This window comes from Homo sapiens, chromosome 6 (assembly GCF_000001405.40).
Source record: "Homo sapiens chromosome 6, GRCh38.p14 Primary Assembly".
NCBI classification, from domain to species: domain Eukaryota; kingdom Metazoa; phylum Chordata; class Mammalia; order Primates; family Hominidae; genus Homo; species Homo sapiens.
The window spans coordinates 140,650,596-140,666,723 of record NC_000006.12 but is presented as its reverse complement, the minus strand read 5'-3'; the positions used below and the strand labels follow the sequence as shown (position 1 = coordinate 140,666,723).

General features: G+C 31.9%; 2 long non-coding RNA genes across 7 annotated transcripts in view, besides 1 other annotated feature; one reads left to right on the top strand and one right to left on the bottom strand.

Annotated features, from left to right (window-relative positions):
- Positions 1–16,128, bottom strand: part of LOC105378027 (uncharacterized) — a 246,946-nt gene that overhangs the window by 118,712 nt on the left and 112,106 nt on the right. The gene's annotated exons all lie outside the window — the stretch shown is intronic.
- Positions 2,766–16,128, top strand: part of LOC105378026 (uncharacterized) — a 55,690-nt gene continuing 42,327 nt past the window's right edge. The window contains exons 1-3 of one of the 2 annotated variants that reach the window (XR_001744389.2): positions 2,766–2,895; positions 7,638–7,745; positions 15,163–15,246. This is a non-coding gene — a long non-coding RNA (uncharacterized LOC105378026). The remainder of the gene's footprint in view (positions 2,896–7,637; positions 7,746–15,162; positions 15,247–16,128) is intronic. The other variant, XR_943070.3, reaches the window with a different exon arrangement.
- Positions 10,645–10,845: a silencer, noted in NCBI's record as "peak6159 fragment used in MPRA reporter construct". NCBI's record gives its function as "represses an SCP1 promoter by STARR-seq MPRAs in K562 erythroleukemia cells {active_cell/tissue: K562}" and the evidence as "EXISTENCE:reporter gene assay evidence [ECO:0000049][PMID:32103011]".

Genomic DNA, 16,128 nt, shown 5'->3' with positions numbered 1-16,128 from the left:
AGTTACTTTGATAATCATGTTTGAATTTATGTGTAAAGATTGTTTACGGCATTCCCCTATTATACCCTAATGTCTGATAGGGTCTGTAGCGATACCTCCTCCATTAGCTCCTGATATTGGTCATCTGCTCGTTCTCTTTTTTCTTGTCAGAGTTGCCAGACATTTGAAAAATTTATTGAATACTTCAAAGAACCAGCTTTGGGTTTCATTCTCTCTCTCTTCTCTCTCATTCTCTCTCTCATTGCATTGATTTCTGCTTCTTTTTCTTTCTTTTGCTTACATTGGGTAAATTTTCATCTTATTTTCCTAATTTCTTGAAATAGAAACTTAGGTTTTTGTTTTGAAATCTTTCCCCCTTTCTGACATAAGCACTGAGTAGTATAAATTACCCTCTATACCCTGATTTAATTAAATTCCACAAATCTTGAGATGTTGCATTTTCATTTCTAGTCACTTTAATGTATTTTCTAGTTCTCCTTAAAAACATTAGAAATTGCTCTTTAATGCATATATTAGTTTGCTAGAGCTGCCATAACAAATACCACAGACTGGGTGGCTTACACAAAAGAAATTGATTTTCTTACAGTTCTGGAGGCTGGAAGTTCAAGATCAAGATCCCTGCAGGCTTAGTTTCCTCTGAGGCCTCTCTCCTTGACTTGCAGATGGCAGCCTTCTTGATTTGCCTCTTTACATGGCCATGCTTCTGTGCATAAGTACCCTTGGTGTCTCTCTAAGCATACCAGTCTCCTCTCTTATAAGGACACCAGTCAGATTGGATTAAGGCATATCCTGAAAGCTTATGACATCTTTATAATGACATCTGTCATTAACTTACAACATCTCTAAAAGCTTTATTGTCATATACAGTCACATATTGAAGTACTAGGGATTCAGACAAATTATGATTTTTGGGGGGACACAATTCAGCCCATAACACAAATTAGTTAGAGTTGTGTTGTTTAATTCCCAGAAAAATATAAATGTTGTTATTCCTTTATATAATTTTATTATTTTTAAATATGTTGTTTTATAAGCCAGTATATAATCTATATTGGTGAATATGGCATGTGAACTTGAGAAGAATATGCATTCTGCTGTTTGGGGAGAAGTATTCTATACATGCCAGTTAGATTTCATTGTTTGATGGTGGTATTCTATATCTTTGCTGATTTTCTGTCTAGTAGTTGCATTAATTATGAAGAGATAAGTTTTGATGTCTTCAATTTTAATTTAAAATTTTTATTTTCCTCCATTCTGTTTTCATCAGTTTTTTTCCTATGTGTTTTAAAGTCTTTTTCTTGTAAATATATATTTAGGATTGTTATACTGGTGACTTTTTATCATAAATTACCATAATTTTATAATTAAGTAATTTTCTATTTTGTTCATGATATTTACGTTGTGCCCTAAAATCCACTTTGCCTGATATTAATATGGTCATTTTAGTTTACTTTTTATTATTATTTTTACAGTATATGTTTTTTTCAGCCTTTTGTTTTTAAGGTCTCATATCACTACATTTAAATTGAGTTTTTTTTGTAGACAGTATAAAGTTGGGTCATTTTTTAAAGATCCATTTTACTAATCTGTTACTTTTAATTAATAAGTATAGACAATTTACATTTAATGCAATTAGCAGGCACATGTATAGTATGTTTGAATTTAGGCCTACTATTTTATTACCTGCTTCCTGTTTGTTTCCTTCATTTTATTTGTTGTTTTCTGTGTTTCACATTTTTTGCCTTCTTATGGGCTGTTTGAACTTTTTTTTTTTTTTTTTTTTTTTGAGATGGAGTCTTGCTCTGTCACCCAGGCTGGAGTGAGTGGTGCGATCTTGGCTCACTGCAACCTCCATTTCCCAGGTTCAAGCAATTCTCTGCCTCACCCTCGAGTAACTGGAATTACAGGTGCCCGCCAACATGCCCGGCTAATTTTTTTTTATTTTTAGTGAGATAGGGTTTCACCATCTTGGCCGGGCTGGACTGGAACTCCTGACCTTGTGATCCACCCACCTCGGCCTCCCAATTGAACATTTTTAAGTATTCCTTTTTTTAACTTGTTATGGTAATTTGACTATAAAATTATGCACAATTTTTTGATAATTCTTTTCCAGCTGAAGGAAGACTACGAGAATTTATCACCAATAAGCGTACTCTAAAAGAATGGCTAAAGGAAGTTTTTTAAACAGAAAAGAAATAAACAGTAAAGAAGATATCTTTGAACATTGGCAATAACAGAGGAACAGAAATAGTAAATACCTGAGTATGCTATTCTTTTCCTTTTAGCTTATTAAAAACATGTTGGATGGTTGAACACAGACATACAAAAAAAGTTATGTATGATATTTTAGCTCTGTTCTTTCTTTAACTCCATAATAACAGACTTCAGTTTGATTATGATTTTATATTATTTGTTTTGATGTGCTTAAATTTTTGCCAGTTGTTTTCTGAATATTTTCCTTATATTCCAGTTTTCTCATTTGGATAATTTACACTTCCACCTGAGGAATAGGTGTATTAGTCCATTCTTGCATTGCTATAAAGAACTACCTGAGACTGGGTAATTTATAAAGAAAAGAGGTTTAATTGACTCACAGTTCTCCAGGCTGAACAGAAAGCATGACTGAGGAAGCCTCAGTAAACTTACAATTATGGCAGAAGGTGAAGAGAAAGCAGACACCTCTTAACATGCTGGAGAAGGAGGAAGAGAGAGAGAAGGGGGAAGTCCTACACTCTTTTATAAACAACCAGATCTCATGAGAATTCACTCACTATTACAAGAACAGAAAGGTTCTTGGTTCATGGTTCAATCAGCTCCTACCAGGCTCCTCCTCCAACATTGGGGATTACAATTCAACATGAAATTTCAGCAGAGACACTGACTCAAATCATATCAGTAAGTTTTCGGTGTTTTTTCATGGAATATATGTTCTCGATAAAGTCTATTTGTGTTTATCTTTAAATGTTTCTATTTTGCTTTTGTTATTGAAGGATTTTTTTCTTGTTATTAAGTAAATAATTGTAGATTTACTATTACTTTGTCTCAAAATTGTGAAGAACTTATGATGATATCTCATGGCTTCTGTTGCTGATGTACAAACTGCAATCAGTATGTCATTCTTTCAAAGTTGTCTTTATTTTTTTTTCTCTCATTGTTTTAAATATCTCTTTGTCTTTGGTGTACTTCCTTTTCATTAAAGTGTGACTAAGTATAAATGTTTTTCTTTTAGGTGTACATTTAGTTTTTTGTGTCTATAAATGTGTCTGGAAAGTACTCAGCAATTAACTCTTCAAATATTGGCTCTTTTCACTGTTTCTTCCTTTGAGGATCCTTATTAAACAAACTGTGGTCTCAGGATATTTGTACCTTTTGTTCTTTCTCTTTGCAATGACCCTCTCCTTGAACATTCTCCTCCTCCTGCAGACACACGCATATACACATATACACCCACCCTCCCTGGACTTTGAATAGTCCTTACACATATGGTCAAATATCTATCACCGCCTATACCAGATTAGCTCTCATTATTGTATGTTCTTTTTGTATCTTTTCCTTCATAGCATGAAAAACTACTATAATTAGATGAATGATATATAATAGTAATAAGAGCTTTTTTGTCTCTTTGACATCTTCCTATCCTCAGTACACAGCACAGCTCCTAGCTCCATAAATACTATTAAGAGAATAATTTAAAATAAGTGGACAAAGAAATGCAATTTGTCACAGCAAGTAGGGGTAGGGTACCAAAATTGACCTCATCAAAATTAGAAGAATTAGATGAATAAATTAAATTTGAAAATCCTTTTTACTACTCAATATATAAAGCACATAACTTCCAAAATGTCTTATAAGCCAAGGTTATTTAAAACCTAATTTTGAGTAGCTTAACAGCAATTGAAACTAGGAATTCAGATGTAAAAGGCCATATTCAGGCCATTGTGTAAAATATTCGAAAAGCCTATATCTTATCATAAATATTCTTTGAATATATCTCTTGAAGAAATAGATACCTGATTTGTAGAGATTTAATAAATAGCAGATATAAATAGTTACTATAAATAATAACACTGATTATCCTGTGTAATCAAACCCTTCACCTGCTGTGATATGCACTGCGTTTATGCAGATCAGCTGTAGGCCTTTCATCCATGAAATTATAGAATGTATAATGTGATGGGCCATGATATATTCAGTGTAATTGCTTATTTATAAAAAGAGCTATCAACAGCCCACTTTAAATAAATTCAGAAATCACCATAGGGCATTTAGAAATGAATATTTTATATGACATTTTAAAAAGATTATGAGAATTTCTTTGAACAGTAAAATTAATGGCTGTTTGGCTGTTTAAACTCATCCAGTGTAGATTCAGGATAATAGCATATAAACTGTAATTACTATATTTGTGTCTTAATTAGGAATAACCCCATCTACCTTACTAGTAATGTGTTTTTAGTCTAAAATATGAATAAAGGGAAAACAAATTAATAAGTTAAATTCCCTCATGGGTCATTTGAATGTAAAGCAGAATTTAATCATAACTCTGTATGCTTTTCTATCTATATATCTATCTGTCATCCATCTATCTATCCACACATCTGTATTTTACTACAATAGCCTTTAAGTATAAGTTTCCCACCGAAAATATAAAATTTTTGAACTTTGAATGTAATATTTAAACATTTAAAGCTTTTAATACACTCAGAAACGATGCATCTTTTGTGTCTTTGATCTTTAGTATAAATGGATTTTACAGTAGTTTAAGATGTATTATAATGTTAGAATTACTCATCAGAACCCCAAATTTCCCAAATTCCCCAAATTCCCAAGAATAGTGATCTTAGTTCAAAATTAGCTAAAGAATATTAAAGTAGTGAATCATTCACAGTAGTGTTTATCACCGTAGAAAGGAAAGGACACAATTAGAATTTGTGAACTACAGGATAATAGAAGTATGTGTTTGTATGACAATAATTCATTAGACACTCACTGATCACTTCAGAGGGCCACAGAGTTTCCTGCATATTCTCCTATATTCTCAGAGCAAAGAATACTTTCCATATATTATTTTGTACTTTTTTTTCCGTGTTGATTTGGAAATCATTAAAATAGTACTGGATTGTCTTTTTACATATTTTTAAGTTTTCTTCTGATTGTAGCACATACCCTCATGCAAAAAATCTTATCAGTCTTAGCAGCAAAACAAATGCTGTGAGGGATACAAAAATACACAGAAAACAGTGTCTGGGGACCACTTTTAGTCAATAGAGCAAATTCTATGTTTAGAGAAACTTGGAAGCTCGCTGTAAAAGTAGTGGAAATCATTTCACTAAAAGTAAGGATAATTATGGCAATATATCAAGTTCATATCATCTGCGTAGGCTAGGAAGGCAAGTTGGAAACAACAAATTCATACTTTTAACTTTGTCATTGTAACACTGATACTGGGGATGAAGCATGAAAATAAAGTGAATATGAACTATAAAGAACATGGAGCTAAAACATTAATTTTGTGAGAATCAAGGAAGAACATTAGCCATGAGATCTACTTACGTGAGACGTGGCATCTATTCACATAAGAAATGTGACTTGTTTTTTATATATATATTTTTTTCTATGAAATACAACAGTAGATAGAATTGCAGGCAGTAATAGTAAGGCTGTAATGTTTAAGCTGATTTATCTAGGAATTCCACAAAAATATAGTGAAGATAAAGCCAACTGAAAGTGAAAACATACATAGAGGTGATACATTTTTAAAAATGGACTTAATTTTTTAGAGCACTTTTAGGCTTAACGGCAAAATTGAGCAGAAGATAAAAGAGATTCTCATATGCCTTCTCCCACACAAGCATAGCCTCCCCCATTGTCAACATTCCCCACCAGAGTAGTACATTTTTCCCCCAATGGAGGAACCTAATTAGCACATTATTATCACCCAGAGTCCATAGTTTACATTACGTTCACTTTCGGTGTTGTAAATTCTATGGCTTTGGGCAAATGTATAATGACATGTATGTATTAGGTTGGTGCAAAAGTAATTGTGGTTTTTGCCATAAAAGTAAGGCAAAAACCACAATTACTTCTACACCAACCTAATATCATTATAGTATCATACAGAGAAGTTTCAATGCTCTAAAACTCATGTGTGTTCTGCCTATTCATCCCTCCCTCCCCTACAAACTCCTGGCAACCACTGATCATTTTAATGCCTCCGTGGTTTTGCCTTTTCCAGAATGTCAGAGTTGAAATCATATGATATATAGCCCTTACAGATTGGCTTCGGATTGAGACAAGGACTTTTGAAACATGTGTAGGCATTAGTTTTTAGACAAAAGTCTAAACCAAGCTTATCCTGATGTCAGTTAATAATAAGACCTCCAGTCCTTTGACTGAATGAAGGCTTAAAGAACATCCAGAACTCTGAAGAAACTGGCAAGTGAGTGCTTAGGCACCCCTGTTCTCTGAGTCCCCTCTGTCCCTATTCACATGCCTTACAGGGGCACTTCATTAATTTGTGGCTGAAAATATATATACATGGGGAAAAGGAAAGGAAAAGAAATATCTTCTCCCCCCAATTGAATCCTGTTTTTATTTCAATTTGACATCTCTTTCCTTTACTTATTTTCATGAGTGCAGTAGCAAAGAAATTAATTTTCCTGTACTACATTCAAGTAGTAAAATATGTGGAAAGGGAGAATTAATTTCAAATCTTTAAAAATGAATTTAAATCACAGAGATTCCATGAATTTTATTTTCTCTATATATGTAATAAAAGTAAATGTTTTCTCATTTTAAGCTATTAATTCATATAAATGCTGTAGAGTTAATTTTATGATGCTACATTTTTATAATCTGTTCCCAAATACTACAAGACTCTTGGAGTTGAGCAAAAAGTAAAAAGATGTATTGTCATATTAAAATCAGGTGGTTATGCATTTACATTGTAAATATCTAGAACATGTTCCTTAGTGTATTTGTATATTTATAAATTATATTTGAATTCACTTTCTAGGAAAGTACTGATGAAAATGATATTAGATGTTTGCTTGAGTAATGGCACATATGATTTTAAATTTTTTGCTTCTTATTTTCTAGGGTATCTTAATGATGACAATCAGATTGGAGATTAATGATGAAGTTTATGTGTTTAAGGCTATTATACTACTTGAAAAAACTGTATAATACACATTACATTTTTAAAAGTTATTATTTTTCCTTCCTGTCAATTAAAGGGAAGTTTTTTTGTGACAGATGAGAGGACAATACATATGAACTTCAAAAAGAAAGTTGAAAAATATTATATGACCAACCAACATGGGAAAGGATTTTTCAGGTCGCAATTGTATCATCATATGGTCACATGCTTTGTTTCCTATTTTAATATGCACTTTAACTTGATGTTTCTATGTGCTAAAGCGAAGCAAATAAATGACTTGTGACATAGGTATAAAATAAAACTTTAACTCCATTTTCAAACACACGTACAAAAAGTGAACTATATTTGACAGCCACTACATGTTTTTCATATAGGAAAAGTAGTGTTGTTTATACCAATTTCTTTTGCCGTATAAAAACTATAATCTGTAGAGAATTAAAAAGTGGCTTTTTTTTAAAGCACAATATTTTCCCCCAAGGCAGATGGGAGAATATTCTAAATGAATTATTAACCCAGAAGAATTTAAGAAAATTTCATTGCACCCAGGAGAGGAAAAAAAAAGAATCCATCCTCCTTCTTGGTGAAGGTGAGTGATGGCCAGCATCCCAACATCCAATATGTGGTCAGAAAATGTCTCTTCTGAATTTGACATAAAGTGTGTGTTCTTGCAGTCAACTACAATGAATAGCCTTTAAAACCCTTTTTCAAGCTTAGTATTCTATAAATTAATGAATACCTACTAGACACTTGTAGGTGCACAATATTAGTAGAAACAGAGAAATCCAACACAATAAAAGAAGAAAAATAAACCCAACAGAGAGAAGTATTACAAAATAAAACTTGTATTATGGAGTGAAAGGAAACAGAAATAATTCAGTAATGGTTTGCACTTATATAAAAGCTAATTACATTTTATGTACATTATATTAAGTACAATTTCATGGATCAGAAGGTTTTTTTTAATAGTAACAAATGTGTTATGGGAGTTTAGATGAAAAGAAAAACTTTGAGTGTAATCAAACACTGGAATAAACCTCTCCAAATATTGGTAGAATGTCCATCACTAGAGGTATTTTTAAAAAGTTCATGTCAGACTAGAATATGACTTCAGGAGGTTTCTACATTTAAACAAAAATTCAACAAAATAATTATTAATAAGCCAATTATTCCAGGGCTATTGAAAATGGTTAAAAATAAACTTATTTTAAAAATAACATTGGAATAATAAAATTTATTCACAGGAGAAAGAAAGCAAAGAAAATCCTATATTTTTTATTGTGTAAAAAGATATATTTGAAATTATTCATAATATATGAAGCCAATCAATACTTATGCAGTTACCAAATGCAACTTAAGCCTTCTAATGAAAGTCTATATCTGTCTTTGGTTTGAGAAAGCTTTAGCTGTACAAATTTGAATGTTGGAATTCATGAAGAGTATTTTTTTCTGCTTTTAATGACAAGACATGAGCTAAACAATGAATTTACTAGTTTCACGGAAGGGCACCAGCAAGAAAATGAAGAAAAGTATCAGTGTAATAATGAATTTTCCAAAACTGTATGTGTGTATAAGAATGGATTCAGAAACATTGTAATTGAAAATTTTGAAAATTATGAGTTAAAGATAAGAGATTAGGCAGAAGAGGGAAGTAAATTTAAATTTGTTTTTTCATTATAAAAACACAAAATATAAAAATAGGTTTTTCAAATCAGTCATTATGTCATCTGATTATAATCACAGCTTGCTATTCTCTGCTCTTTGATATATTATTTTTAAAACTGTGATTTTAATGGATTTGTCTCAATTGAATGATTACGCCATAACTGATACCCTACTTCCAAGACATTTGATTATTTCCAAAGTTTTGTTATTAAAAATGTATTTGTTCTTTTAGATTTCCTGTATGTGAGAATAAATCTTCAGTAAGAATTCCCAGAAGTTAATTAACATGTCAAAGGCGAAAACATTTTTCTCTTGATGTATAAGCTAAAAATATTTTCAAAAGGTTTATGCCAATGTAAAATGCCATGAACAACATCTGAGAGTTTAGCTGCACCCTATCCTAGGCAACATAAAATACCCTGTTTCTCATTAAGTGCTAATTTAATAGATTAAAATTGGAAACTCATTTTGATTTTCAGTGTTTTTAAATTATAAAACCTGATGTGATTAAAATATATTATCATTTGATGTTTATGGGGGGATACTATATCTTTTTACTGATAACTTTTATTTTTCTTGGACTAAGTATCTACTGGTAAGGTGGTAAAATTTGCATTTCTATAATTCAGTTCAATGGAGTAGTAGGAGAACCAGGTTGCACACATTTATTTCTATTCTCTTGTGTATATAAAGTTTTGAGTTATTGGTATTGTTTTTCACCTAGTTGTAATAGGCTGAATACTGGCCACTCAAACATATTTATAAGGTAATATTTACAAATTCTAGGTGTTGGGGTTCTAGGACAAATTTTAGGACCTGGAGTTCCCCAACACCTGGAATTTGTAAATATTACCTTATAAAGAAAAAGGTTTTTTGTAGGTGTGATTAAATTAAGAATCTTGCCATGGAAGATTATCCTGTATTATCAGCTCTAAATCCAGCCCCGCCATTTTTATAACATAGAAGCAGAAGCAAATTTAGACACACACAGAAGGGAAGGCAATATAACCAAAATAATGGGAGGCAAAAACTGGAGTGATGTAGCCACAAGTCAAACAATGCCCACAGCCTGAAGAGACAAGGAAAGGATTTTCCCCTAAAGCTCCAGAGGAAGCACAGACCAGGCAACAGCTTGATTTTGGCTCAGTGAGAATGATTTTGAATTTGTGGCTTCCATAACTGTGAGAGTTTGGTTCTGTGTCCTTGCTATTGTGAATAGTGCTGTAATGATCATATGAGTGCCTGTGTCTTTTTGGTAGAGCAAATTATTTTCCTTTGGGTGGCTACACAGTAATGAGATTATTGGTTCAAATGATAGTTCTGTTTTCAGTTCCTTGAGAAATCTCCAAACTGCTTTCCACAGTGGCTGAATTAATTTACATTTCCACCAAAAGTGTGTAAATATTCTCTTTTCTACACAACCTTGCCTGAACCTAAAATAAAAGCTGAAATCAAAACTAAAATTTGAGAGAATAAATTTTTGTTGTTTTAAACCACCAAGTTTGTAGTATCTATTACAGAAGCCAAAGGGAACTAAAACACTGTGTATTTTCACTGATAAACCTTTGGAAAAATTTAAGTTGGTTTATCAATTATTGTACTAAAATTTGAATGCAGAAGATGTTACATTTATTCCTTTGTATTAGTCATGGTTCTCTAGAGGGACAGGACTAATAGGATAGACATTTATATGAAAGGGAGTTTATTAAGGAGTACTGACCCACAGGATCACAAGGTGAAGTCCCACATTCGGCTGCCTGCAAGTTAAGGCGCAAAGAAGCCAGTCTGAGCTCCAAAACCTCAAAAGTAGGGAAGCCGACAGTGCAGCCTTCAGTCTGTGGCCAAAGGCCCAAGAGCCCCTGGCAAACTACTGATCTAGGTCCAAAAGTTCAAAAGGTGAAGAACTTGGAGTCTAATCTTCGAGGTCAGGAAGCTGCCAGCACAGGAGAAAGATGGAGGCCAGAAGACTTGGCCAGTCCAGTCTTTCCACGTTCTTCCGCCTGCTTTTATCCTAGCTGCACCGGCAGCTGATTAGATTCTGCCCACTCAGATTAAGTGTGGGTTGTCTTCCCCCAGTCCACTGACTCAAATGTTAATCTCCTTTGGCAACACCCTAACAGCCACATCCAGGAACAATACCTTGCATCCTTCAATCCAGTCAAGTTGACACTCAGTATTAACCTTCACATTCTCTAACACAGTTTCCCCCATTCACCTTTTGATGAAGTATTGAGGTTAGTAGGTTGTTGTCATTTGAATGTTAGATCACTTCAAAACTTATGCTGAAATTTAATTCCCATTGTCACAGTATTAAGTGAGCACCCTAAGAAGTGATTAGGCCGTGACGGCTCTATCCTCATGGGTGAGACTGGTGACATTGTAAAATAGCAAGTTCAGCCTTTTCTTGCCTTTCTGTTTCTGCCATGGGTTGACACTGCAAGAAGATCCTCTCCAGATGCTGAACCTCAAACTTGGACTTCCTACCCTCCAGAATTCTGAAACAATAAATTTCTGTTCATTATAAATTACTCAGTCTCAGGTATTCTCTTATGGAAACAAAAATTAACTGAGATACACGTCCTGTCCTAAGGCTCTGGAAAAATCACTAAAGCCTTAAGATCTGAAAGTATACATCAATGAGGCAAGATGAACACAAAATTGCTTATCTTTCATTAATGGGAAAAACCCCCCACAAATATTCATTTCCCAAAGCAACTTTAAAATAAAAAATGTAACACTTAAACATAGATGTGTGAATGCCCTCCTTTTGCATTGAAATTTGATGGGGTTTAACAAGTTCTATATCATGCATCTAAAAATGTTTGTCTCATAAAACTCTAAATTTAAGTAGTAAATACTCATTCTAACAGCTTGTGCACATTTTTATGTCACATTTTTCACATTTTATGTAATCTATTAAATCATCCCACTTGTCATAAAAAGAAAAATGTATATTTTTTTCTATTTCTAGTAACTAGGATAATTTCTAATGAGGACAGAAATTAAAAACCTTATAATCTTCACAAATAAAAATAATGCATTTTTTCATATTCAGATATGTTGTATTTGAGAAATTTCTTTTAAAATATGTGCATAACAAGGACTATTAGAATGAACACTACATATAATGTGTGAGAGCATGAGTATCTAGCTCTGATTTGATACTTTCTCTTTACATTCAAACTGGGCAATCTAAATCTTTTGAAATTTCCACTGGAGATCTATTAAAAACAGATGCCACTTTACTTGCAGGAGTATTATAAAACTCAAATATGTAAAATCATTTGGAAAGTATAATGACTTCTGCAAAAATAAATATTATGTTAGAATACCAATATACTTGTATACATGGATGCTAATTTATCAATTAATTATAAAATGATGACCATATGGCATTAGTGTGAAGTAGCAGATTACAGCACTTTTTAAAAATTGATTTTTTTTATTTGTGTAGCAGTAGTGACACTGTTGTGAGGAAATGTAACCTGCCATTTTCAAACAACTTCCTCAGAATTATGTTGACTGGAATAGTATTCCAAAACTTTTCTTTTTACTATATTACTACAATATCACTGATATAATAGAACACAAACATAAGTTTAATTCTAATAATGAAATATGACTCAAATGCATTTAAAATCATTCTACATAATGAAATCATGTTATGTCAAATGCTTAACTTAATTCAATGGATGAGTCATTTCTAGTTTTCTGGGATCTGATGTGATAACAGACCCTTACACAGCAAACATCACTGGGTAAAAACACCTTTTCCTCTTCCAGGAACAATCTTTGTTTAGATAATATCATGGTGCACTCTCTCACCTTCTTCAGATCTTGACATATTTGTCTAATGCCCAGTGAAGACTTGCCTTTCCCCTTATCTAAATTACTCTATCCCTGACACTGACACCTACCTTCATTGCTTTATTATTTTTCTTGTCACCAGCTAACACACTCAATGCTTTATTTGTTCATCTGCAATGCATTTTGTCTGAGTCTCTTAATAGAATGCAACAGCCACAAAGTCAGACTTTTAAATTTCTTGTTTTATTTTTATTATATCTTAACACCTAATACCTACAATGGTGATGGCACTTAAACAGCTTTGAATAAATGAATTAATTTGCAAATGGATAAATGCCTGACTGAATAAATAAATAAAGAAAGACAGCAGAGAGTTTCTAACTTAATATTAACTTCTTTGGCTAATAAGTATCTAATTGGTAACTCAACTATGCTTAACTCCACATAGGGTGACATAAGAATAAGAGTAATGGAAACATAAGAGTGATAAAAAGAAATACTAAATGATTCTTTATGGGGGTACTTTAACCTCACCCTTTCCTTACATATGCAAGGTGATATAGATATCAGTTTTATAATAAAATAAAGAAATAACTAGAGATATAAGTTGCAATGAAAGTATAATCAAATATAATAAAATATAGTAAATGTAAAAATCTTTTTCATTGTTTTCAATAAAATGCATTGACCTTTTTTAAAAAAATAAATGTATATATTGAAATACTCATTGGAGGTCTAATAATAGAAATATAAATAACCAAATAAACGGAAAAGGACCAATTGGAAAGAACTTTCCAACTGTGTGTGTGTGTGTGTTTGTGTGTGTGTTATTGTCCCAGTTTTAACTTATATTTGTTTGGACAGTATACATTCCGTTTCTATCCCTTTAGTAGTTATCCTAGAAATTGCATCAAACATCATTAGCTTATAAAAATATGATGTTAACCCATATTTTAGCCTCATCTCCAACAGTCCGAGGAACTTACATAAATGTGAATAAAACTTATTTTACTGCCCTTCCAACTTATATCATATTGGTGCCATATACTTTAATTCCATCTATTTTAAGACTTTAGAAAATATTATTTATTAATATTATTGTATACATTCTAAGTTGATTTGGATTTACTCTTATTTTGAGTACCCATTTTTGTTTTTTCTTAAAATATTAGTAAAATAAGTAGTAAGCCTAAAAAATGAATAAATAAGATATTTTTCCTTCTGCATAACAATGTTTTTAGGTTTGGGTATTTTTTGGACTAAAAAACAATCTTCATTTAGCCATCTTCCTTAGTATGTCTTGATGGGTATAGAATTCTGCATAAAAGATAATTTTTTTCATCATATTGATACTATGCTTTGTCTTCTAGTTTCCATTGTTGATATAGAAAAGTCAACCAGCCTTTGTAAAAATCTTTATTTGTTTCTCTCGAGATGCTTTCAAGATATTTCTCTCTACTTTTTTTTTTGTAGTTTGACTGTGATACTTCTAGTTGTATTTTTTCTAATACAGCTTCTAGTTGTATTTTTTCTAATACAGCTTCTAGTTGTATTTTTTCTAATACAGCTTCTAGTTGTATTTTTTCTAATACAGCTTCTAGTTGTATTTTTTCTAATACAGCTTCTAGTTGTATTTTTTCTAATACAGCTTCTAGTTGTATTTTTTCTAATACAGCTTCTAGTTGTATTTTTTCTAATACAGCTTCTAGTTGTATTTTTTCTAATACAGCTTCTAGTTGTATTCCTTCTTAGAAATCTTAGGCATTTTTAGTGTATCAATTGATATCTTTTAAAAATCTGTAACATCCACAGACTTAATTCTTGAAATGCTGCTAATATTTTACTGCTCCATTTTCTCTCTTTCTTCATTTAAATCAACTATGTATGTTTAATTGATTTAATTGACTTAATTAATTTAGATGATTTGATTAATTTAACTTATATGGCAGGTTGATTGTATATGACTCTTCCCTCCATCAAGGAGAGATCAGCAACTTGTCGTCATTGAAATTAGAATTTCTCACTGAGTGTTCTGTTTCTCTTAACTGTACTTCTGTACTTTTCATCCTCTGTGAGCTTCAGAGGCCAAAGGATAATTCTCACTGACCTATTATTTAGCTCCTTATTTCTCTCCTTAGCTATTTCTAATCTTGGGTGACATTGATCCATTGAGTTTATAACTGCTGCTATTTTACTTTTCAATACTAAAATTTCTATTTGGTTCCTTTTGAAATCTGCACTCTGTGTTCCTTAAAATTTTTTTTCAAGATTTTATTTTATTTTGTCAACTATGGGAATGACAATTGTTTTGTATGCCCTGTTTGATACATTCAAGATGTAATTTTTTGAAACAATTTGTTTACATTGTTATATTTTCCACATCTTAACCTCATGGTTTCTTGTTTCCATAAAAGCCTGGTTACTTTTGCTTGTTAGATGTTCATTTATTTTATTTTAAAATATATAGTAGAAGTAAAATAAGGTTAAAAAATTCACTACTCCTTCAAGGAAGACAATTTTTTTGTTTCTTTTAGGGGATAGGAAATACGACCTGTCTCACTTTGATCCATATTGAAGGCTTCGGATTTCCTTCATTCTCCAAGTGATGCAAAACCAAGGTGAGCAGTAAATTCATAGGTGATTTACTTCAGGTATTTCTTTACTTTAAAGGTTTATCCCTTTGGGGATGCAGTTTAAGGCCTGAGCTTAATTTCTTGTATAATTAAAATTATTGTATTTCATAAGTTTATGTTGTAAAGGTTATATTATAAACTTATTTCCTTTATAAATCAATTTCATAACTTTCATAAAGCTTGAGCTTTCCATTCACTGAGGCCAATAGAATTGTATTTCAACTTCACAGTTTTTTCTTACTGATTGGCAAATGCCTTTAAAGTACAAAAAATTTTGGGTGATCTCCTCTTTTCTACGATTTTGGCCTGGAGATTCCTCAATCTCTTCAAGGCTCTTAAGCTGATTTTTTAAATAATTTCACCCAGCTCTTTGAGTTGTCCTCAGTAGGAGGGTTGGCCTCAATCACCTGGCCCATCACTACCAGAAACAGAATCTGTTTTACAGAAAGACCACTTGATCTCAGTATATTCACATCAATGCACTCTGAAATATGTTATAGATAAATTGGCAGATATATGTAGATGTACATATACATATGCACACAGATTGAAGGTATACATAAACAGAATACCCATATGAATAAAACCTTGTATATCTTCTCATATTTTTAATATTTACATGGTTTAAGAAATGTAGAAGTGATTCAGTTCAAACCGTAAACCAATAAGCAAGAAACCAAATGTATATCTAGCAGGTAATTGTATTGATTTATAGCTGCCAAGTATAATATTCTTCTTCATTTGATTTCTTTTACATTTTACCTAAAATGAGTGGTAGATTTCTCTGCAAACTAAAGAAGTTAAATATTTTGACAAATTTCATGTACTTACTGCAAATATTTATTAAGTATCTTTGTAACACCTTCC